At 53.7% G+C, this 20,299-nt stretch overlaps 1 protein-coding gene across 3 annotated transcripts, besides 9 other annotated features; it reads left to right on the plus strand.

Annotated features, from left to right (window-relative positions):
- Nucleotides 761–810: an enhancer, noted in NCBI's record as "active region_10947". NCBI's record gives its function as "activates an Ori minimal core promoter by ATAC-STARR-seq in GM12878 lymphoblastoid cells {active_cell/tissue: GM12878}" and the evidence as "EXISTENCE:reporter gene assay evidence [ECO:0000049][PMID:35858748]".
- Nucleotides 821–870: an enhancer, noted in NCBI's record as "active region_10948". NCBI's record gives its function as "activates an Ori minimal core promoter by ATAC-STARR-seq in GM12878 lymphoblastoid cells {active_cell/tissue: GM12878}" and the evidence as "EXISTENCE:reporter gene assay evidence [ECO:0000049][PMID:35858748]".
- Nucleotides 3,982–4,231: an enhancer, noted in NCBI's record as "active region_10949". NCBI's record gives its function as "activates an Ori minimal core promoter by ATAC-STARR-seq in GM12878 lymphoblastoid cells {active_cell/tissue: GM12878}" and the evidence as "EXISTENCE:reporter gene assay evidence [ECO:0000049][PMID:35858748]".
- Nucleotides 3,982–4,537: a biological region, named in NCBI's record as "H3K4me1 hESC enhancer GRCh37_chr16:66994865-66995366".
- Nucleotides 4,036–4,537: an enhancer, noted in NCBI's record as "H3K4me1 hESC enhancer chr16:66994865-66995366 (GRCh37/hg19 assembly coordinates)". NCBI's record gives its function as "activates a minimal SCP1, AML or CMV promoter by ChIP-STARR-seq in naive H9 embryonic stem cells {active_cell/tissue: H9 hESC(naive)}" and the evidence as "EXISTENCE:reporter gene assay evidence [ECO:0000049][PMID:30033119]".
- Nucleotides 4,322–4,531: an enhancer, noted in NCBI's record as "active region_10950". NCBI's record gives its function as "activates an Ori minimal core promoter by ATAC-STARR-seq in GM12878 lymphoblastoid cells {active_cell/tissue: GM12878}" and the evidence as "EXISTENCE:reporter gene assay evidence [ECO:0000049][PMID:35858748]".
- Nucleotides 4,340–18,223, plus strand: CES3 (carboxylesterase 3). 3 transcript variants are annotated; one of them, NM_024922.6, is made up of 13 exons: nt 4,340–4,463; nt 6,253–6,457; nt 6,565–6,703; nt 6,876–7,009; nt 7,431–7,584; nt 7,697–7,801; nt 9,318–9,419; nt 9,799–9,939; nt 12,753–12,833; nt 14,246–14,393; nt 15,430–15,579; nt 15,742–15,820; nt 15,928–18,223. In NM_024922.6, exons 1-13 carry the CDS (start codon nt 4,382–4,384, stop codon nt 16,121–16,123), a joined length of 1,716 nt encoding a protein of 571 aa, NP_079198.2. In that variant the 5' UTR covers nt 4,340–4,381; the 3' UTR covers nt 16,124–18,223. The 3 variants fall into 3 exon arrangements, with proteins under 3 accessions (NP_079198.2, NP_001172106.1, NP_001172105.1); NM_001185177.2 differs by having other exon boundaries at nt 15,751–15,820; NM_001185176.2 differs by lacking the exons at nt 4,340–4,463; nt 6,253–6,457; nt 6,565–6,703; ... (3 more) ...; nt 9,318–9,419; nt 9,799–9,939 and adding an exon at nt 10,549–10,973.
- Nucleotides 6,812–7,729: an enhancer, noted in NCBI's record as "H3K4me1 hESC enhancer chr16:66997641-66998558 (GRCh37/hg19 assembly coordinates)". NCBI's record gives its function as "activates a minimal SCP1, AML or CMV promoter by ChIP-STARR-seq in primed H9 embryonic stem cells {active_cell/tissue: H9 hESC(primed)}" and the evidence as "EXISTENCE:reporter gene assay evidence [ECO:0000049][PMID:30033119]".
- Nucleotides 14,091–15,290: an enhancer, noted in NCBI's record as "BRD4-independent group 4 enhancer chr16:67004920-67006119 (GRCh37/hg19 assembly coordinates)". NCBI's record gives its function as "activates an origin of replication core promoter dependent on BRD2, P300/CBP, MED14 and CDK7 cofactors, and independent of BRD4, by STARR-seq in HCT116 cells {active_cell/tissue: HCT116}" and the evidence as "EXISTENCE:reporter gene assay evidence [ECO:0000049][PMID:35650434]".
- Nucleotides 17,960–18,254: an enhancer, noted in NCBI's record as "tiled region #4953; HepG2 Activating DNase unmatched - State 8:EnhW, and K562 Activating DNase matched - State 8:EnhW". NCBI's record gives its function as "activates a minimal TATA promoter and a strong SV40 promoter by Sharpr-MPRA in HepG2 and K562 cells {active_cell/tissue: HepG2 | K562}" and the evidence as "EXISTENCE:reporter gene assay evidence [ECO:0000049][PMID:27701403]".

The following is a 20,299-nucleotide window of genomic DNA, read 5'->3' on the forward strand; positions in this document are numbered from 1 at the left end:
AGATTTTGTGTGTGTGTGTGACGGAGTCTTGCTCTGTCACCTAGGCTGATTTTTTAAAAAAAATAAAATGCCAAACTGTTTTCCAAAATGACTATATGATTTTTGCAACCCTACCAGCCATCTGTGAGGGTTCCAGATGCTTTCTATCTTCACTAAAACTTGGTCTTATGGGCCTTAAATCTGATTTTTTCAGGTTTTTGTTTTCGTTTTTATAGAGTCAGGGTCTCTCTGTCAGCAAGGCTAGGGTGCAGTGGCATGATCATAGCTCGCTGTAAACTTGAACTCCCGGGCTCAAGGAATCCTCCCACTTCAGCCTCCTGAGTAGCTAGCAAAACAGGCATTTTTAAAAATTCTGTAGCCAGGCGTGGTGGTTCATGCCTGTAATCCCAGCACTTTGGGAGGCTGAGGCAGGCAGATCACGAGGTCAAGAGATCAAGACCATCCTGGCCAACATGGTGAAACCCTGTCTCTACTAAAAATACAAAAATTAGCTGGGCGTGGTGGTGTGCACCTGTAGTCCCAGCTACTCTGGAGGCTGAGGCAGGAGAATTGCTTGAACCCACGAGGTGGAGGTTGCAGTGAGCTGAGATTGCACAACTGCACTCCAGCCTGGCAACAGAGCGAGACTCTGACTCAAAAAAAAAAAAAAAAAAAAAGAAAAGAAAAAAAACTGTAGAGATGGGATCTCATTATGTTGCCCAGGCTAATCTCAAAATCCTGGGCTCAAGCTATCCTCTTGTCTGAGCCTCCCAAATTGCTAGGATTACAGGTGTGAGCCATCACACCTGACCCTGATTTTTTTAAATGCATGTTTAGTGGCACCTCATTGCAATTGGTTCCTTGGACTTTTAGCCTCTGCTTTTGACTATCTCTCTCTCTGTGTCTCTATCTCTCTATATTTACTATATATGTAACATTTCCTCACACACAGAGAAATGTGCTCCCGAGATGACTCTTCTTTTCCTTTCACTTCTTTTTCTTGAGACAGAGTCTCCCTTTATTACCCAGGCTGCAGTGCAGTGGCACGATCATAGCTCACTGCAGCCTTGACTTCCTGGGCTCAGGCAATCCTCCCACCTCAGCCTCCTAAGTAGCTGCAACTAAAGGCGTGCAACACCAGCCTAGCGAATTAAAAAAAAAAAAAAATCTGTAGAGATAGGGTCTCACTATGTTACCCAGGCTGGTCTCGAACTCCTGAGCTCAAGTGATCCTTCTGCCTCAGCCTCCCAAAGTGCTGGGATTACAGGTGTGAGCCACCATGCCTGCCCTTCATTTCACATTTTTATGATTCCCTCAGTCATCATCGATGCCAAGACCTCTGAACCATAGCACAGTAAATGGTGGAATCCATGGGCATGTTCCCCCCAGTAGTCATGGACAGCAGCCCAGGGATTTGGAAGAAGTTGACCTGTTAATGTAAAGGAGCTTTGTCACTGGACTCTGAGCTGGGAGGAGCTGGGGACCTCTTAGCACCCACAACCCAGGTATTAATTAGGACATGAGAATTAAGGGCAGAGTTAGCATCTACCAAGGCAGGAGGCTGGGAGGATGGCTGGGGCCACAGTGAGTTGGATGGGAGACATTGAATCAACAACAGGCCATGCTGTTGGGTGGAGGTCGAGAGCAACTTCTGGTGGAGACTGGAAGGAGAGAAACTGGAGACAGCAAAGGTGGATGACTAGCTTTCCTAGAAATAAGAACAGAAGGGCCAGGCATGGTGGCTCACGCCTGTAATCCTGGCACTTTGGGAGGTGGAGGGAGGAGGATTTCTTGAGCCCAGGAGTTCGAGACCAGCCTGGTCAACATAGGGAGATCCCATCTCTACAAAAAACATACAAAAAGTAAAAAAATAACCAGGCATGACGGCACACATGCACCTGTAGTCGCAGCTACTTGGGAGGCCAAGGTGGGAGGATCACTTAAACCCAGGAGATTGAGGCTGCAGTGAGCCAAGATCATGCCACTATACTCTACCCTGGGTGACAGAGTGAGACCCTGTCTCCAAAAAAACAAAAAAGAAGAGGAAGAAAGAAAGAGAGGAAGGAAGGAAGGAAGTGGGGGGGAGGGAAAGAAAGCAAGAAAGAAAGAAAGAAGAAAGAGAAAGAAAAGAAAGAGAGACAAAGAAAAGAGAGGAAATAAAAAGAAAGAAAGAAAGAAAAGAAAGAAAAAGAAAGAGAGAAAGAAAGAAAGAGAAAGAAAGAGGAAGGAAGGAAGGAAGGGGAAAAACAGAAGAATGGAGCAATAGCTAGAGGGCAAAGTGGGTCAAGGCAGGCTTTGATGGTGGCATTTACACAGAAGCTGTGTTTGCAGCTGATGGGAGGGATGCTGCTACCAAAGAGACAGCCCTGGGGACGTGGGAGGGGACCAGGGTCTAGTGTCCATGGGTAGGTCCCAGAGCTGGGACTAGAGCAAGACAAGCAAGTGTAAAATTTAGAAGGCATTCATTCTCAGGTGCCGACCCTCTACTGGTATGACCCCGGGGGTGAGTGACTCTTTAACTTTTATGCCCTGGGCGCCTTGCTGGCCTGTCTCACCCTAGTCCTGGCCCTGGTAGGCCCATCCACAATGCTAGGAGGGAAGGCAGACCTAGCTGCAGGGAGTTGGGAAACGTGGCCTTGGGAGCAGATGGAGAGCTCTCCTGGCAGCATCTATACCCGAAGATGGAAGGTAAGATTGTGGGCGGAGAAGAGATCCAGGTGCCTTGATGTGAGTGTTGAAGGTGGAAAGCATGCCAGAGCCAGGTGCTAAAATCTTCAGCAAATGATCAAGGGGGTGTGGCTGGGGGGTGGCAGGGCTGTGATGGCAACAAGAAGAGGAAGGTGGAATAGGGAAGGACAAAGTCTGGAGGCAGCTCTGAAAAGGAGACCCCACCCCAGGCTGCCGGGGAAGATTCAGGAAGCTGCAATGGTTTTTTATGAATTTTTTTTTAGAGAGAGAGTCTTGCTATGTTGCCCAAGCTGGCCTCAAGCTCCTGGGCTGAAGCAATCCTCCTGCCTCAGCCGCCTGAGTAGCTGGGACTACAGACTTGTGCCACAATGCCCAGCTGGCACTAGTTATTTTTGGCAGAAGGGAAGTTTCATCCTAAAGCCTGTCTCTTCAGCTCTGGGTGCCAGCTGGAGCCCCGGAAGAGGATCTGGCATCGTGTTTAGGCACAACCCTCACTCTGTCTTTCACTGGGCCAGCAAATATCTATCCATCCTCCCACCGCCTACTCCCAGCCAGCCATGTTCCTGACACTGAGGCCCAGAAGTGAGTCCTGCCCTCCCTGGGGGTGGGAGCCTCCTAAGCCAGCAGAGAGACAGATGCCCTGCAGATCCCCGCCCCGGTCAAGAGCAGGCTTCCATCAGTTCTGGTTCCCAGACTCTCCTCTCCTCAGGCTTCCATGAGTTCTGGTTCCAAGCCCCTCCCCTCCTCTCCCCTCCCCTCCCTCCCTCCCTCCCTCTCTCTCTTTCTTTCTCTCTCTATTTTTCTTTTTTCTCTTTTTGTTTCTTTCTCTTTTTCTGTCTCTTTTTCTTTCTCTCTCTCCTTTCTCTCTCTCCTTCTTTCTCTCTCTCCTTTCTTTCTTCTCTCTCTCTCTTTCTCTCTTTCTTTGTCTTGCTCTATAGCCTAGCCTAGAGTGCAGTGGCATTATCACAGCTCACTGCAGTCTCGACAACCTGGGCTCAAGTGATCCTCTCACCTCAGCCTCCCAAGTAGCTGGGACCACAGGCATGCACCATCACACCTGGCTAATTTTTTTTATTTTTTCTAGAGACGTGTCTCCCTGTGTTGCCCAGGCTGGTCTCAAACTCCTGGGCTCAAGCGATCTTCCTGCCCCATCCTCCTAAAGCACTGGGATTACAGGTATGAGCCACCACACCCAGTCCCAAGCCTCATGTTTTCACACACACACTCACACACACATGCAAACATGTACCCTCACTTCAATGCTATGAGGTGGGTCCTATTATCATCACTGTTTTATTTTCTTTCACATTTTAACATGAGATTTGGAGGGGACAAAACATCCAAACCATATCAAGCCCTCACCTCAGGCTGGGTTGCCCACTCGGAGTGGCACCCCAGGGTCACTGGCCACCACTTCCTAGGGTCAGTGATGTGGTCACCTTGGGATGAACGCACAGGATTTCATGGAGATCACCAAGTCAGGAGAGCTGGAATTTGAAAACAGTGGGACGGGGAGGGCTGTCATATCAACCAGGCCTCTGCAGGGCACTCATCTAGCCCTGCCTCTGGCTCAGCCTGAGCATGGGGCTGGCCACCAGCTAGGTGGCGCTGTCCTTGGAGGTTCTATATCACAGCCCTTTAGAGATCGGTGGTGCTGAAGGGCAGGGATCTTATTCCACCTTCTGAAGCTTCTGTCGAACCAGTTGTAAGGAGAATGGAGAGAGCAGTGAGAGTGGAGTCCGGGGTCCTGGTCGGGGTGGTCTGTCTGCTCCTGGCATGCCCTGCCACAGCCACTGGTAAGACACACCTGCTGGGCCTGCAGAGGTACTTGGTGTGGAGGAGTCAAGAGTGAGACAGGGACAGGGAGCAGTGGGCCGACCGCTCAGGAAACAGTCCTGTTTGGAGGCAGACCAGGGGTTGTGCATTCTCTCTGGGCAGGCGCTCTGCTCTTGCTGTATTTGTTTCGTTGTTTTTGTTGTTGTTGTTTGAGACAGAGTTTTGCTCTTGTTACCCAGGCTGGAGTGCAATGGCGCGATCTCGGCTCACTGCAACCTCCGCCTCCTGGATTCAAGCGATTCTCCTGCCTCAGCCTCCTGAGTAGCTGGGATTACAGGCACCTGCCACCATGGCCGGCTAATTTTTGTATTTTTAGGAGAGATGGGGTTTCACCATGTGGGCCAGGCTGGTCTCAAACTCCTGACCTCAGGTGACCCACCTGCCTCGGCCTCCCAAAGTGCTGGGATTACAGGCGTGAGCCACCGCACCTGGCCTGTCTTTATGTCTTAAGGGGGCCTGAGATTTGTTTTAATGAAGTATAGTAAGACAAGCAGATATGCAAATGACTATCATGAGGGAAGGAGTTTGCTCGTAGTTCCCTGTGAACAGGAAGCAGGCCATGCCACATAGGGCCACAGAGGGAAGCACCAGGTGGCATCAGCCAGGAGGCAGAGGGAGCAGGGGGAAAATGTGGGCAAGCCCCTTTGACACGGTTGCCACGGGAAGGAATAGGCAAGGCAGGCTAAAGAGGTTTACGATTGGCAGCAGGCTCTGGGGAAAGGGGCTGTCCCCAGCCAGCTTCCTGGTACCCGGCTCTGTGGTGATTATGGCTGGTGGATGGCAGCCAGGAGCTGAGAGCTGTATAAAGGAGGTGGTTGGGTATGGCTCTGGACTGGTTTGCCTTTGCTCCCTAGAGAGATGCCTGCCAATTCCACCTCCCCAGAGAGCTGCCTCCTATCTCTAGGAATTGTCTAGCCTGGGAGAGGCAGTCCTCCAGTCTTAGTCTGTTTGTGTTGTTGTAAAAGAATACAGGAAGCTGGGTAATTCACAAAGAAAAGAAGTTTAGTTAGGCCACAGTTCTGCAGGCCGTACAAGAAACATGGTGCCAGCTGGGCATGATGGCTCACACCTGTCGTCCCAGCACTTGGGGAGGCTGAGGTGAAAGGATTGCTTGAGCCCAGGGGTTTGAGACCAGCCTGGGCAACATAATGAGACCCCATCTCTACTTTTTAAAAAATAATTCAGGGCTGGGCATGATGGCTCATGCCTGTAATGCCAGCACTTTGGGAGCCCCAGGTGGATGGATTACTTGAGGTCAGGAGTTCGAGACCAGCCTGGCCAACATGATGAAACCCCGTCTCTACTAAAAATACAAAAATTAGCCAGGCGTTGTGGTGCACACCTGTAATCCCAGCTACTTGGGAGGCTGAGGCCCTGGAGTCGCTTGAACTCGGGAGTCAGAGGTTGCAGTGAGCCAAGATCGTGCCACTGCACTCCAGCTTGGTCAACAGAGCTAGACCCTGTCTCAAACACAAAAAATAAAAACAAAGAAATGGGCAAGTGGCTGGCCCCAAGGCACAAGGCCCTAGTGGCAGGCCCGGTCTGGCCTGGAGTGGAGTGGTAGTGACTCTCAGGCAGGCAGGGAGGAGGAAGTTGGGCGTCAACCTAAGACCAGGCTCACCGGCTTGCTGGGAAGGTTACCAAGATGCTGTGTGGTAAGTACTGAGAACAGCCTGAGGGTTTGTCTTTCACTCCTTCCCCTCATGGGGGCTGCAAACTCACCCCGTGGCCTTTCTGTCCTTCCCTCAGGGCCCGAAGTTGCTCAGCCTGAAGTAGACACCACCCTGGGTCGTGTGCGAGGCCGGCAGGTGGGCGTGAAGGGCACAGACCGCCTTGTGAATGTCTTTCTGGGCATTCCATTTGCCCAGCCGCCACTGGGCCCTGACCGGTTCTCAGCCCCACACCCAGCACAGCCCTGGGAGGGTGTGCGGGATGCCAGCACTGCGCCCCCAATGTGAGTAGTGCTGGTGGAGGCGGGCAAACAGGCAGGTTGCAGGAGAATCCTGCTGCTGGGGCTTGTGGGGCTGAACAGCTGGACCTCAGGCCCACCCTTGGCCACAGGTGCCTACAAGACGTGGAGAGCATGAACAGCAGCAGATTTGTCCTCAACGGAAAACAGCAGATCTTCTCCGTTTCAGAGGACTGCCTGGTCCTCAACGTCTATAGCCCAGCTGAGGTCCCCGCAGGGTCCGGTAGGCCGGTAGGCACCCCAGAGGGCCCTGTCCACCTGATCCAGCTCCACTATGCCTACCTGTCCCCTCCCCGTCCCTGTTTCCAAAGCACCCTAGCGGTCCTGAGACTGCCTGGGCTGGCAGGTGGGCAGCTAAGGTCTCAGGAGCTTGGGGGTCAGTGCCCCATGGCCACCTCTGCAGGTCATGGTATGGGTCCATGGAGGCGCTCTGATAACTGGCGCTGCCACCTCCTACGATGGATCAGCTCTGGCTGCCTATGGGGATGTGGTCGTGGTTACAGTCCAGTACCGCCTTGGGGTCCTTGGCTTCTTCAGGTGAGACGACAGGCATGGCCAGAGCACTGCCTGCACCGGGGAGAGGCCAGCTCACCAGAGCAACTGGGGATCTAGGTTGGGGTCCGGAACCTGAAGGGAGGGCCCCTTACCCATGATGTCTGAGGCAGAGAAGGGCACCCCCCAAGCCTCCACCCTGGGAGAGGGGTCCAGCCAAAGCCAGAATTATACAGTGAACTTGGTCCCTTGGGCAGAGGGCATTGATTCCTGGGCTGAAGCCCAGGTTCCAGCAGGATATGGGACAAAGAGCAACAGGCTGTGGAGATGCCAACCACGGCTCCCAGACAGGCCAGACCTGGGGAGCAGAGAAGGGTCTGGCATCCTGGTGGCTAATTCAAAGCAAACCTGCAGAGGCTGGCGAGGAGCCAGGCTGAACTAACCGTTGCCCCAACACTGCCCCCAGCACTGGAGATGAGCATGCACCTGGCAACCAGGGCTTCCTAGATGTGGTAGCTGCTTTGCGCTGGGTGCAAGAAAACATCGCCCCCTTCGGGGGTGACCTCAACTGTGTCACTGTCTTTGGTGGATCTGCCGGTGGGAGCATCATCTCTGGCCTGGTAAGTCACTATAGGGGGCTAGTGATGGTGGCCAGGAGGGCTCCGGTGGTCTCAGAACTCCCAGCTCCTCTGCCCTCCTCTGACAGCCACCTCCTCTCTCCAATGCACCCAGGTCCTGTCCCCAGTGGCTGCAGGGCTGTTCCACAGAGCCATCACACAGAGTGGGGTCATCACCACCCCAGGGATCATCGACTCTCACCCTTGGCCCCTAGCTCAGGTCTGTATTTCCTTCCCTCTCTTACTCTATGTGTGCCTCCCATACCCCACTCTGTGCTGGCCCTGGGGTCTCAGAGTAGCGGGGTTTGCTGGCAGGGAGCTCCCTGTTAGCAAAGAGAAGCCCAATAAGACGAAGGAGCATCAGAGGAAACAACTGCTGCATTCCAGCATATTGGCACTCAGGGAGGGCTTCCTGAAGGAAGCCACCCTGAAGCATATCATTGTTGGCCCTTTCTCCAGGGTGGGGTCTTCAGGAGCACCCCTCTCTGCCCCAGGCAGCATGGTGGAGGGGGTCTCCATTGCCAGCCACCTGCTGCCTGCGAGCTCTCCATTCAGGCTCCAGATCCCCACCCTAGATCCTCATTGTAAGGCCTTGTGAAGAAAATCCAGGGGAAGCCACAGTGGGAACTGCATCTGCAAAGGCTGCAGGTGTGGGAGAGAGTGACAGGTCCTGCAGGAGCAAGCTCGCAGGTTAGGGAACAGGGCAGGAAGTGAAGGTGCTGGAGAAGTGGGGGCCATGCCTGGGAATCTGGACTTTCTCCAGAGGGCAGGAAGAAGTTGGGCAATGACAAGGTTGAGCTACCTGGAGTAGAAGGTGGGTTGGAGGGAGCCGTCCTGAAGATCAAGACACCAGTGAAATGACCAGGGCAGAGTCCAGGAGAAAGAGACAGGATGGAATAGGGATAGAGCCATCGGGGAGAGAGGGGGCAAATGTGAGCAGGATTTGGAAGACTGGGTCAATTCCCTCACCTGGCCCCAGATGGTGGCCAAGGCAGTGTGGGCTGGGCATTTTAACCACTGTGTACAAGATGATTCTGGAACCTCTGCGTGGGCATGTTGACTCTTGTATGGACAACAGCATCCTCCTCTCAACCTCCCCATCCCATCCTCTCCCCATGGCCAGGAGAGATTTTCTCAACCACAGACTTGAGGTCATTCCCTGTCTCTCCTGTGTCCAAAGAAAAACACAGCTCAAGGCTGAGGTTGGCGGATCACAAAGTCAGGAGATCAAGGTGATCCTGGCTAACATGGTGAAACCCCATCTCTACTAAAAATACAAAAAATTAGCCGGGCATGGTGGCAGGTGCCTGTAGTCCCAGCTACTCAGGAGGCTGAGGCAGAAGAATGGTGTGAACCCGGGACGCAGAGCTTGCGGTGAGCCAAGATCATGCCACTGCACTCCAGCCTGGGCGACAGAGCGAGAGTCTGTCTCAAAAAAATAATAATAAAAGATAATGACACTATTCTTAGAGGGCAATGAGGACTCAGTGCCCCCATTCCCCCAGATAATAAAATTATGGTATAATAGGGGACGCAAGGGGGCCCTTGGGACCACCCAAGCTGACGGGCAGGGCAGGCTTCTCAGGAGTGGTGACAAGTCTGTGACCAGTCTCGAGGCCGATCTGTGACATCACATCCAGCTGTCCTACAGATGCACCCTCTCTGTGGGAGGCAGAAGGCTGCAAGGTGGGGCTGAGTGGCTGAGAGGGAGGCATGACTCTTTCATTTGTCCCCAGAAAATCGCAAACACCTTGGCCTGCAGCTCCAGCTCCCCGGCTGAGATGGTGCAGTGCCTTCAGCAGAAAGAAGGAGAAGAGCTGGTCCTTAGCAAGAAGCTGGTATGGCCACCCTTTTGGGGATGGTGCCGGGCAATGGCACAGAGGGGGTTCTATCCATCCCCTGCAGGAGCAGAGGGGCAGTCTACCCCCAGGTGGGGCTGGGGACAGCAGCTCATGAGGGGAAGGGGCTGAGGGCTTGGAGACAGAAATGGAGGGCCATCTCCATCCCCACAGCAGGCCTGTCTTCTAGGAAAGAAACTGGACGCATCTGTTGCCCTGATCTCCTGGTTCCCCCGACCCCCTTAACCCTGGTGATCTTCATCCCTTCACTTTCCCTCCAGGCTCAGACACTCAGGCCTGCAGCTCAGTGGCTGCTGGGGTCCTAGCCTTTGAGGCTTGGCCCTAACTTGGGAGCCTCCTGCATTGCTTTCTCCTGCAGAAAAATACTATCTATCCTCTCACCGTTGATGGCACTGTCTTCCCCAAAAGCCCCAAGGAACTCCTGAAGGAGAAGCCCTTCCACTCTGTGCCCTTCCTCATGGGTGTCAACAACCATGAGTTCAGCTGGCTCATCCCCAGGGTGAGTTGCTCCCACCCCTGTGCCCTTCAAGGCCCTGCCCCAGCCAGTACCTGCCACCCCAGCATCAACACTACAGCCTTGTGAACGGAGCACTCCCGTTACTCCCATTTGATAAGTGAGAAAGCAGAGGCCCAGAAAGGTTTGAGGGACTTGCCCAAGGTCACCCAGCTTTGTTTTGTTGTGTTGTTGTTTTGCTTTTTTTTTTCTGTTTTTGTTTGTTTGTTTGTTTGTTTTTGAGACAGAGTCTCGCTCTGTCACCCAGGCTGGAGTGCAGTGGTGCGATCTCAGCTCACTTCAACCTCCACCTCCTGGGTTCAAGAGTTTCTCCTGCCTCAGCCTCCCAAGCAGCTGGGATTACAGGCACATGCCACCACACCCAGCTTTCACCACGTTGGCCAGGCTGGTCTCAAGCTCCTGACCTCAAGTAATCCATCTGCTTTGGCCTTCCGAAGTGTTGGGATTACAGGCGTGGGCCACTTCAATAAAGCAAATGTTTTCTTTTGGGGAACAAGGTTTTTGCACAAACTGGCCTTCTGGGCACTGCTGATCTGGGCAGCATATTCCTGCCTTGGCGTCTGGTTTATACATCAGGCTCTATGAGACTGGTTAGTGTGACTCTGTGCCAGAGCAATTGACTAAAACTCTCAGGTTTTAGATATCAAGCCACCGGGGACTTCATGAGCCAAGTCCCTTCCATTCCTTTCCAGGTGCATAGAACTTCCCACAAGAGTGTCAGCACTGTGCTTTCATCCCGAGCATCTTGTTTCTGTCATTCTTATTCTTCTACCCATCTTCACAGCAATCATTTTCTTCACTTTTCTTTTTTTTTTTTTTTCGTCTTGGCCCATTGCACACCCTAAGACAAAGCAATCCATTTTTGTTGTTGTTGTTGTTTGTGTGTTTGTTTGTTTTTTGAGACAGAGCCTCGATCCATCATCCAGGCTGCAGTGCAGCAGCGCCATCATGACTCTCTACTGCCTCAACCTCTCAGGCCCGAGCAATCCTCCCAGCTTCCTGAGTAGCTCGGGCCTCAGGTCTGTGCCACCATACTCTGCTAACTTTTTTTTTCTTCCGTGTATAGTCAGGTCTCCCTCTGTTGCCCAAGCTGGTCTAGAGCACCTGGCCTCAAGCAATCCTCTTGCCTCGACCTCCCACAGTGCTGGGATTACAGACATGAGCCACAGCACCCAGCCAACAACCACTTTTAATGGCTGCAAATCTTCCACAAATGGAGCGTCTCGTTACATTGTTCTTTCATCTTGGCATTTGGGCATCTTCTAGTTTTTTTGTTTGTTTGTTTGTTTTGTTTTTGAGATGGAGTTTTGCTCTTGTTGCCCAGGGTGGAGTGCAATGGCGCGATCTTAGCTCACCGCACTGCAACCTCTGCCTCCCAGGTTCAAGCGATTCTCCTGCCTCAGCCTCCTGAGTAGCTGGGATTACAGGCATCTGCCACCATGCCTGGCTAATTTTTGTATTTTTTTTAGTAGAGATGGGGTTTCTCCATGTTGGACAGGCTGATCTGGAACTCCTGAACTCAGGTGATCCACCAGCCTTGGCCTCCCAAAATGCTGGGATTACAGGCATGAGGCTGCACCCGGTCCTGGCAACTTCTAGTTTTTACCACTGAGGCTAATAGCGCAGTGAATGTCTTCATGTCCATGGCTTTTGTCCTCTGACTTAGCCCTTTGGAATCAATCCCCTCATATTGGTCCCTTGGTATGTGAGAGAGAGGCTCATGCAATCTTGACATTCAAAGACAAAGCTTAAGCCGGGTGCGGTGGCTCATGCCTATAATCCCAGCACTTTGGGAGGCTGAGGTGAGTGGGTCACTTGAAGTCAGGAGTTCGAGACCAGCCTAGCCAACATGGTGAAACCCCATCTGTACTAAAAATACAAAAATTAGCTGGGCGTGGTGGTGCATGCCTGTAATTCCAGCTACTCAGGAGGCTGAGGCACGAGAATCACTTGAACCCAGGAGGCAGAGGCTGCAGTGAGCCGAGACTGTCCCACTATACTCCAGCCTGGGTGACAGAGTGAGACACTGTCTCACAAAATACAAAGCTTGTAAAAGTTTTCAGGTCAATGCCCTCAACTCTGGCAGGCAGCCTTTACCCCACACCATCAACTTACAGTTGTATGAGTGAAACCAAGGGAACCCCAACCTGGCTGTGCCCCAGGACCTGGGTAGATCTGCCTGGCGTGGAAGGCTGTGCCCAGGACTTGTTGCTGAGAATGTTTCTTAGAAGTTGGGTGACTCAGGCTGGGCCCGGCGGCTCATGCCTTTAATCCCAGCACTTTGGGAGGCCAAGGCAGGCGGATCACTCAAGGCCAGGAGTGTGAGACCAGCCTGGCCAACATGGCATAACCCCACCTCTACTAAAAATACAAAAATTAGCCAGGCACGGTGGTGCACGTCTGCGGTCCCAGCTACTCGGGAGGCTGAGGCAGGAGAATAGCTTGAACCCAGGAGGCGGAGGTTGCGGTGAGCCGAGATTGCGCCACTGCACTCCAGCCTGGGCAACGGAGTGAGTCTCTGTCTCAAAAAAAAAATGTTGAAGAAATTTTTCATTCTCTACAGTTGCCTTTAACCACTTGCCTGTTGTATTTGGGGCTGCTCTCCCCATCCACACCAACCACCTCCCACCAATTTGCGGTTTATCTTTTTGGATCTGTGGACTTTTCGGCCCCATTTTGGCCAAGTGCTCCATGATGAGTTTCTGGCCTCAGGACCGTGAACACTCTCTTGCCCAGGGCTGGGAGTCGGGGTGAGCCGGTGGTCAGGCTCCACTGAGAGGGCCTTGGTGTCCACACAGGGCTGGGGTCTCCTGGATACAATGGAGCAGATGAGCCGGGAGGACATGCTGGCCATCTCAACACCCGTCTTGACCAGTCTGGTGAGACAAGAGGCAGGAGGGAGGAAGCTAGGGCAGGAGGGAGGAAGCTAGTGGGTATCCCATCCAACAGCACAGTCTCTGCCCCTACCTTCCGACACCCACAGCTACCCACCTACCACCAAGCCCCTTTGTCTAACTGATCAATTTTACTTCCACTCCGGAATCTCCTTAGATATGAGCCAGTGTGGTTCTCAAAGGAAAACCATCATCACCATCATCGTCAACATGAAACTGCCCGTTAATGAGCACATATTACGTGCCAGGGACTATGGTGCACTGAGCGCCGGGAGAGGGTTTCATCTCCTTCAATCCTCACTGCAACTCTGTTTTCTTTTCTTTTCTTTTCTTTGTTTTTTTTTTTTTTTTTGAGACAGAGTCTTGCTCTGTCGCCAAGGCTGGAGTGCAGTGGCCCGATCTCGGCTCACCGCAACATCCACCTCCCTCATTCAAGCGATTCTCCTGCCTCAGCCTCCCGAGTAGCTGGGATTACAGGCCCCTGCCACCATGCCCGGCTAATTTTTGTGTTTTAGTAGAGACAGGGTTTCACCATGTTGGCCAGGCTGGTCTCAAACTCCTGACCTCAGGTGATTCACCCGCCTCGGCCTCCCAAAGTGCTGGGATTGCGAGCGTGGAGCCACCGCGCCCGGCGCTGCAACTCTTTACAGAGGAATTCTCGCTAGCCCCATTTTACACATGAGGAAACTGAGGCTTGAGGTGTCATGCTGGGGAAGGGGCAGAGGCAGAGTTTAAGCCAGTTTTGTCTGACCCTAGAGCCTCAGCTGTCAGATGTGGAGCTAGATAGACCTGGGGCCAAATCCCAGCCCTGGGCACTTGCCCAGTTATCCTATCCCCTCTAAGCCCATCTCTTCATCTACACATGGGGATGACACTGCCCACTCGCCTGGGCTGTTGTAAGGAGACTAGACGTTGCATTTGAAGAGTCTACCTGGGATCTCAATACCAGGGGCTGTTCAATCTTTGTCCATTTCCCTTCTTTGGAAGCCCCAGAACCCTTCCCATTCACGCAATCTCATCACTGCCCTCTGGAGCTGAGGGGAGCCCCTATCATTTCTGCTCTCACTTACTTCCCAGTTAACTTCAACCGAGCACCTGCTTCCAGGCCAGACCCTTTGCTGGGGACTTCACATAGGCTGCCAGGCAGAGACTGACTTTCAGAGAGGTTTAGCCACCTGTCTGCGATCACACAGCCAAGCAGTGGTTGCAGAGCTAAGATCTGACTCCAAACCTGAGCTTATGCCAAACTCCCAGGGAGGCAGAGAGGCAGCTGGCTGTCCCCTGGACCATCAGCCCTGGGATTTGAGGGAAGCTATGCTGGAGAGTTTGGGGCTTCCTGGGATGGTCTGCCACATCTGTGCACCCTGAGCAGGGCTGAGCCTGGCCTCTTGCCCCAGGATGTGCCCCCTGAGATGATGCCCACCGTCATAGATGAATACCTAGGAAGCAACTCGGACGCACAAGCCAAATGCCAGGCGTTCCAGGAATTCATGGGTGACGTATTCATCAATGTTCCCACCGTCAGTTTTTCAAGATACCTTCGAGGTAAGCCTGTCCCTGGCCACCTGCCCAACCCCTCCCACTTGGGCCCAGGAGCTGGGTCATCACAGGTGACATGGCATGATAGGGTGCTGGTTCCCTCAATGCCTTGCACCCCACACCCCACTGCCCCCCACCAAACCTATCTTTCTCTGGGATGCAGTGTCATAGTAATGAGAGGTATCTCCAGCAGGAAACTATGCAGAGGAGAAAACCTCAGACTCAGAGAGGTACAATGACTCACCAAAGGTCACCCAGCAGGGCCTATCACTAATTCTCAGGGATTCACTCAAATGGGTGATTTCATCCTCTTTCAGCACTTCTGGGGGGAAAGTCTTGCTTCCTTCAAGCCTAGTAGCTAATCCCTGATGCAGACCCAGAACAGTTCCAGACCCAGAACTTTGTGACCTTGGGCAAGATACCTACCCCCTCTGAGCCTCAGTTTCCTCCTTTGTAAAATGGAAATAATAATAGAATCTAATCTATTAATTCTATTAATACAGAATCTATTGTGATGGGGATTCAATAAATGATGACACTGGCCAGGCGCGGTGGGTGGCTCAATCTTGTGATCCCAGTACTTTGGGAGAAGCGGGAGGATCGCTTGAGCCCAGGAGTTCAAGACCAGCCTGGGCAACATATTGACCCCAATCTCTACACAAATTTTTTGAAAATTAGCCGGGCATGGTGGTACACACCTGTAGTCCCAGATACTTGGGAAGCTGAAGTGGGAAGATCACTTGAGCGCGGGAGTCTCAGGCTGCAGTGAGCTGTGATCATGCCACTGCACTCCAGCCTGGTCGACAGCAAGACCATTTCAGAGATTAAAATAAAAATATTAAATTAAATTAAAATGATGACACAAAGCACACAGAATGGTGCCTGTCACCTAGCAAGCGCTCAGTAAATGTTTGCAGCTAGTCATTTTATCATCATCATCATCATCATCATGGAAATTGGTGTTATTATGAGCATGTGCTGCCAAAGGCAGCATCGAATCAGGCCATGAGTGCCTAACTCCCATCCCATCCTTTCTCTGTAGATTCTGGAAGCCCTGTCTTTTTCTATGAGTTCCAGCATCGACCCAGTTCTTTTGCGAAGATCAAACCTGCCTGGGTGAAGGCTGATCATGGGGCCGAGGGTGCTTTTGTGTTCGGAGGTCCCTTCCTCATGGACGAGAGCTCCCGCCTGGGTGAGGACAGACAGACAGACATGTGATCCCTAGGCTGCCAGACTCCAAGGGGCCTGGGCAGGGCTTGCAGGAACACGGGTCTCCAGTCAGCACTGAGGATCCTTGGGTCCCTTCCAGGTCCCACCTGACTCTCGTTCAGTTCTGTCCCTCTCACCTTTCCAGCCTTTCCAGAGGCCACAGAGGAGGAGAAGCAGCTAAGCCTCACCATGATGGCCCAGTGGACCCACTTTGCCCGGACAGGGTGAGTGAGTGACAGGGCATAGCTCGCTTTGGGCCTGGGATGCTCAGGTCGGCCCCTCTGGGGGACAGCACAGGAAGCCTTGGTCCTCATTCATTCCTCCCACCCAGGGACCCCAATAGCAAGGCTCTGCCTCCTTGGCCCCAATTCAACCAGGCGGAACAATATCTGGAGATCAACCCAGTGCCACGGGCCGGACAGAAGTTCAGGGAGGCCTGGATGCAGTTCTGGTCAGAGACGCTCCCCAGCAAGATACAACAGTGGCACCAGAAGCAGAAGAACAGGAAGGCCCAGGAGGACCTCTGAGGCCAGGCCTGAACCTTCTTGGCTGGGGCAAACCACTCTTCAAGTGGTGGCAGAGTCCCAGCACGGCAGCCCGCCTCTCCCCCTGCTGAGACTTTAATCTCCACCAGCCCTTAAAGTGTCGGCCGCTCTGTGACTGGAGTTATGCTCTTTTGAAATGTCACAAGGCCGCCTCCCACCTCTGGGGCATTGTACAAGTTCTTCCCTCTCCCTGAAGTGCCTTTCCTGCTTTCTTCGTGGTAGGTTCTAGCACATTCCTCTAGCTTCCTGGAGGACTCACTCCCCCAGGAAGCCTTCCCTGCCTTCTCTGGGCTGTGCGGCCCCGAGTCTGCGTCCATTAGAGCACAGTCCACCCGAGGCTAGCACCGTGTCTGTGTCTGTCTCCCCCTCAGAGGAGCTCTCTCAAAATGGGGATTAGCCTAACCCCACTCTGTCACCCACACCAGGATCGGGTGGGACCTGGAGCTAGGGGGTGTTTGCTGAGTGAGTGAGTGAAACACAGAATATGGGAATGGCAGCTGCTGAACTTGAACCCAGAGCCTTCAGGTGCCAAAGCCATACTCAGGCCCCCACCGACATTGTCCACCCTGGCCAGAAGGGTGCATGCCAATGGCAGAGACCTGGGATGGGAGAAGTCCTGGGGCGCCAGGGGATCCAGCCTAGAGCAGACCTTAGCCCCTGACTAAGGCCTCAGACTAGGGCGGGAGGGGTCTCCTCCTCTCTGCTGCCCAGTCCTGGCCCCTGCACAAGACAACAGAATCCATCAGGGCCATGAGTGTCACCCAGACCTGACCCTCACCAATTCCAGCCCTGACCCTCAGGACGCTGGATGCCAGCTCCCAGCCCCAGTGCCGGGTCCTCCCTCCCTTCCTGGCTTGGGGAGACCAGTTTCTGGGGAGCTTCCAAGAGCACCCACCAAGACACAGCAGGACAGGCCAGGGGAGGGCATCTGGACCAGGGCATCCGTCGGGCTATTGTCACAGAGAAAAGAAGAGACCCACCCACTCGGGCTGCAAAAGGTGAAAAGCACCAAGAGGTTTTCAGATGGAAGTGAGAGGTGACAGTGTGCTGGCAGCCCTCACAGCCCTCGCTTGCTCTCCCTGCCGCCTCTGCCTGGGCTCCCACTTTGGCAGCACTTGAGGAGCCCTTCAACCCGCCGCTGCACTGTAGGAGCCCCTTTCTGGGCTGGCCAAGGCCGGAGCCAGCTCCCTCAGCTTGCGGGGAGGTGCGGAGGGAGAGGGGCGGGCAGGAACCGGGGCTGCGCGCAGCGCTTGCGGGCCAGAGTGAGTTCCGGGTGGGCGTGGGCTCGGCGGGGCCCCACTCAGAGCAGCTGGCCGGCCCCAGGCAGTGAGGGCCTTAGCACCTGGGCCAGCAGCTGCTGTGCTCGATTTCTCGCTGGGCCTTAGCTGCCTCCCCGCGGGGCAGGGCTCGGGACCTGCAGCCCTCCATGCCTGACCCTCCCCCCACCCCCCGTGGGCTCCTGTGCGGCCGGAGCCTCCCCAAGGAGCGCCGCCCCCTGCTCCACAGCGCCCAGTCCCATCGACCACCCAAGGGCTGAGGAGTGCGGGTGCACAGCGCGGGACTGGCAGGCAGCTCCACCTGCTGCCCCAGTGCTGGATCCACTGGGTGAAGCCAGCTGGGCTCCTGAGTCTGGTGGGGACTTGGAGAACCTTTATGTCTAGCTAAGGGATTGTAAATACACCGATGGGCACTCTGTATCTAGCTCAAGGTTTGTAAACACACCAATCAGCACCCTGTGTCTAGCTCAGTGTTTGTGAATGCACCAATCCACACTCTGTATCTGGCTACTCTGGTGGGGACTTGGAGAACCTTTGTGTCCACACTCTGTATCTAGCTAATCTAGTGGGGATGTGGAGAACCTTTGTGTCTAGCTCAGGGATCGTAAACGCACCAATCAGCACCCTGTCAAAACAGACCACTTGACTCTCTGTAAAATGGACCAATCAGCAGGATGTGGGTGGGGCGAGACAAGAGAATAAAAGCAGGCTGCCTGAGCCAGCAGTGACAACCCCCCTCGGGTCCCCTCCCACGCCGTGGAAGCTTTGTTCTTTCGCTCTTTGCAATAAATCTTGCTACTGCCCACTCTTTGGGTCCACACTGCCTTTATGAGCTGTAACACTCACCGCGAAGGTCTGCAGCTTCACTCCTGAGCCAGCGAGACCACGAACCCACCAGAAGGAAGAAACTCCGAACGCATCTGAACCTCAGAAGGAACCAGTTCCCGACACGCCACCTTTCAGAACTGTAACACTCACCGGGAGGGTCCGTGGCTTCATTCTTGAAGTCAGTGAGACAAAGAACCCACCAATTCCGGACACAGAAGTAAACATTTCTTGCTTTGAGGATCAATGTACCACTACCTTAAAACACCTGGGTTTATTTTTGTTTTTGTTTTAGAGACAGGGTCCACTCTGCTGTGCATGCTGGACTGAAGTGGCACGATTGTAGCTCTCTGCAGCCTTGAACTCCTCGAACTCACTGCAGCCTCGAACTCAATCAAGCGATTCTCCCCCCTCAGCCTCCCAAGTAGCGGGGACTGCAAGTGAGTGTCGCCATGCCTGGATAATTTTTTTAGTTTTTGTAGGGACAGGGTATCACCATGTTGCCGAGACTGGCCTCAAACTCCTGGCCTCAAATGATCTTCCCGGCTCGGCCTTCCAAAACACTGGGATTGCAGGTGTGTCCCACTGTGCCCAGCCAACACCTGGATTTCAATACATATCCCAGAGTCTTCCCTGCCCCCGTTATGCCATCCTACCAGCTCCAGTCGCACAAATGCCCTTCCTCAGTCAGACTGAGCTGCTGGCTGCTGATGGGTGGGTGAAAAGCATTTTCATTTTCTTTTTTCTTTCTTCCTTTCTTTCTGTCTTGTTTTTTTGAGATGGAGTTTCACTCTTGTTGCCCAGGCTGGAGTGCAATGACACGATCTCAGCCCACTGAAACCTCTACCTCCCAGGTCCAGGCAATTCTCCTGAATCAGCCTCCCGAGTAGCTGGGATTACAGGCGCCCACCATCATGCCCAGCTAATTTTTTTGTATTTTTAGTAGAGACAGGGTTTCACCATGTTGGCCAGGCTGGTCTTGAACTCCTGACTTCAGATGATCCACCCACCTCGGCCTCCCAAAGTGCTGGGATTACAGGCGTGAGCCACCGCGCCTGGCCAGCATTTTCATTTCCAACTGGAACCAGCTCTGTTCTGGGAAGTCCATTTTGGGGAGGAAGGAGAGACAGAAAGCCAGAAGGGCTCTGAGTCATATCATTCTCCTGCTCGAAAGCTCCTGGTGACTCCCTGTCTCCCTGAAGACAAGTCCAAGTTCTCCACGTGCCACTGAAGTCCTGCTATTCTCATCCACTTCCTTCCACCAGGGAAGTTCATCCCCACAAGCTGGTAGAGCTTGACAAGTAGGCCCTGGCCGGGCACGGTGGCTCACGCCTGTAATCCCAGCACTTTGGGAAGCCGAAGCGGGTGGATCACCTGAGGTCAGGAGTTCGAGTCCAGCCTGGCCAACATAGCGAAACCTTCTCTGTATTAAAAAATACAGAAATCAGCCAGGCGTGCTAGTGTGCACCTGTAGTCCCAGTTACTAGAGAGGCTGAGCCAGGAGAATCACATGAACCCGGGAGGCAGAGGTTGCAGTGAGCCGAGATCACGCCACTGCACTCCAGCCTGGGTGACAGAGTGAGACCTTGTCTCAAAAACAAAACAAAACAAAACAGGCCCCAATAATACAGTGTGTAACTGGGACACGAAGGGCTGTGAGGACACAGAGACGTAGACCAGCCCAGACTTGGGAGACAGGGAAGGAGGGACATCTCAGCTGAGACCCGAGGAATAAACAGAGGTTACTCAACCGTGCAGACCAGCGTAGAAGACTGGAAGGGTGGGGAGCGGGGGAAGGGCGTGCCTGGCAGAGGGAACAACAGCAGCAAAGGCCTGAAGGATGCAATGTGTGGAGGAATCGCGGCTCTGCAGGGCTGGAGAGGTCAGCAAAGAGCAGACGTGAGAGGACTTGTGGGCTGCGACAGGGGTCGGCATGGACTTGACGCTCATGGAAGCCCTGTTGTATGGAGGAGGGTGGCTGGGAGGGGGGAGAGGAGGGGGAGAGCAGGGAGAACAGGGAGGGGACCAGGGTGGGCTGCCAGGTGGATGGAGAGGC

The sequence above is a fragment of the Homo sapiens genome, chromosome 16, assembly GCF_000001405.40.
Source record: "Homo sapiens chromosome 16, GRCh38.p14 Primary Assembly".
In the NCBI taxonomy this organism is placed as follows: Eukaryota; Metazoa; Chordata; class Mammalia; order Primates; family Hominidae; genus Homo; species Homo sapiens.

Bases quoted from the DNA above. Each gene is read 5' to 3' on its own strand.
- CES3 (NM_024922.6), top strand. From the start codon at position 4,382: ATGGAGAGAGCAGTGAGAGTGGAGTCCGGGGTCCTGGTCGGGGTGGTC. The intron at 7,010-7,430 runs GTGAGACGACAG...CACTGCCCCCAG, and splicing joins GGGGTCCTTGGCTTCTTCAG to CACTGGAGATGAGCATGCAC. The intron at 9,940-12,752 runs GTGAGTTGCTCC...GTGTCCACACAG, and splicing joins TCAGCTGGCTCATCCCCAGG to GGCTGGGGTCTCCTGGATAC.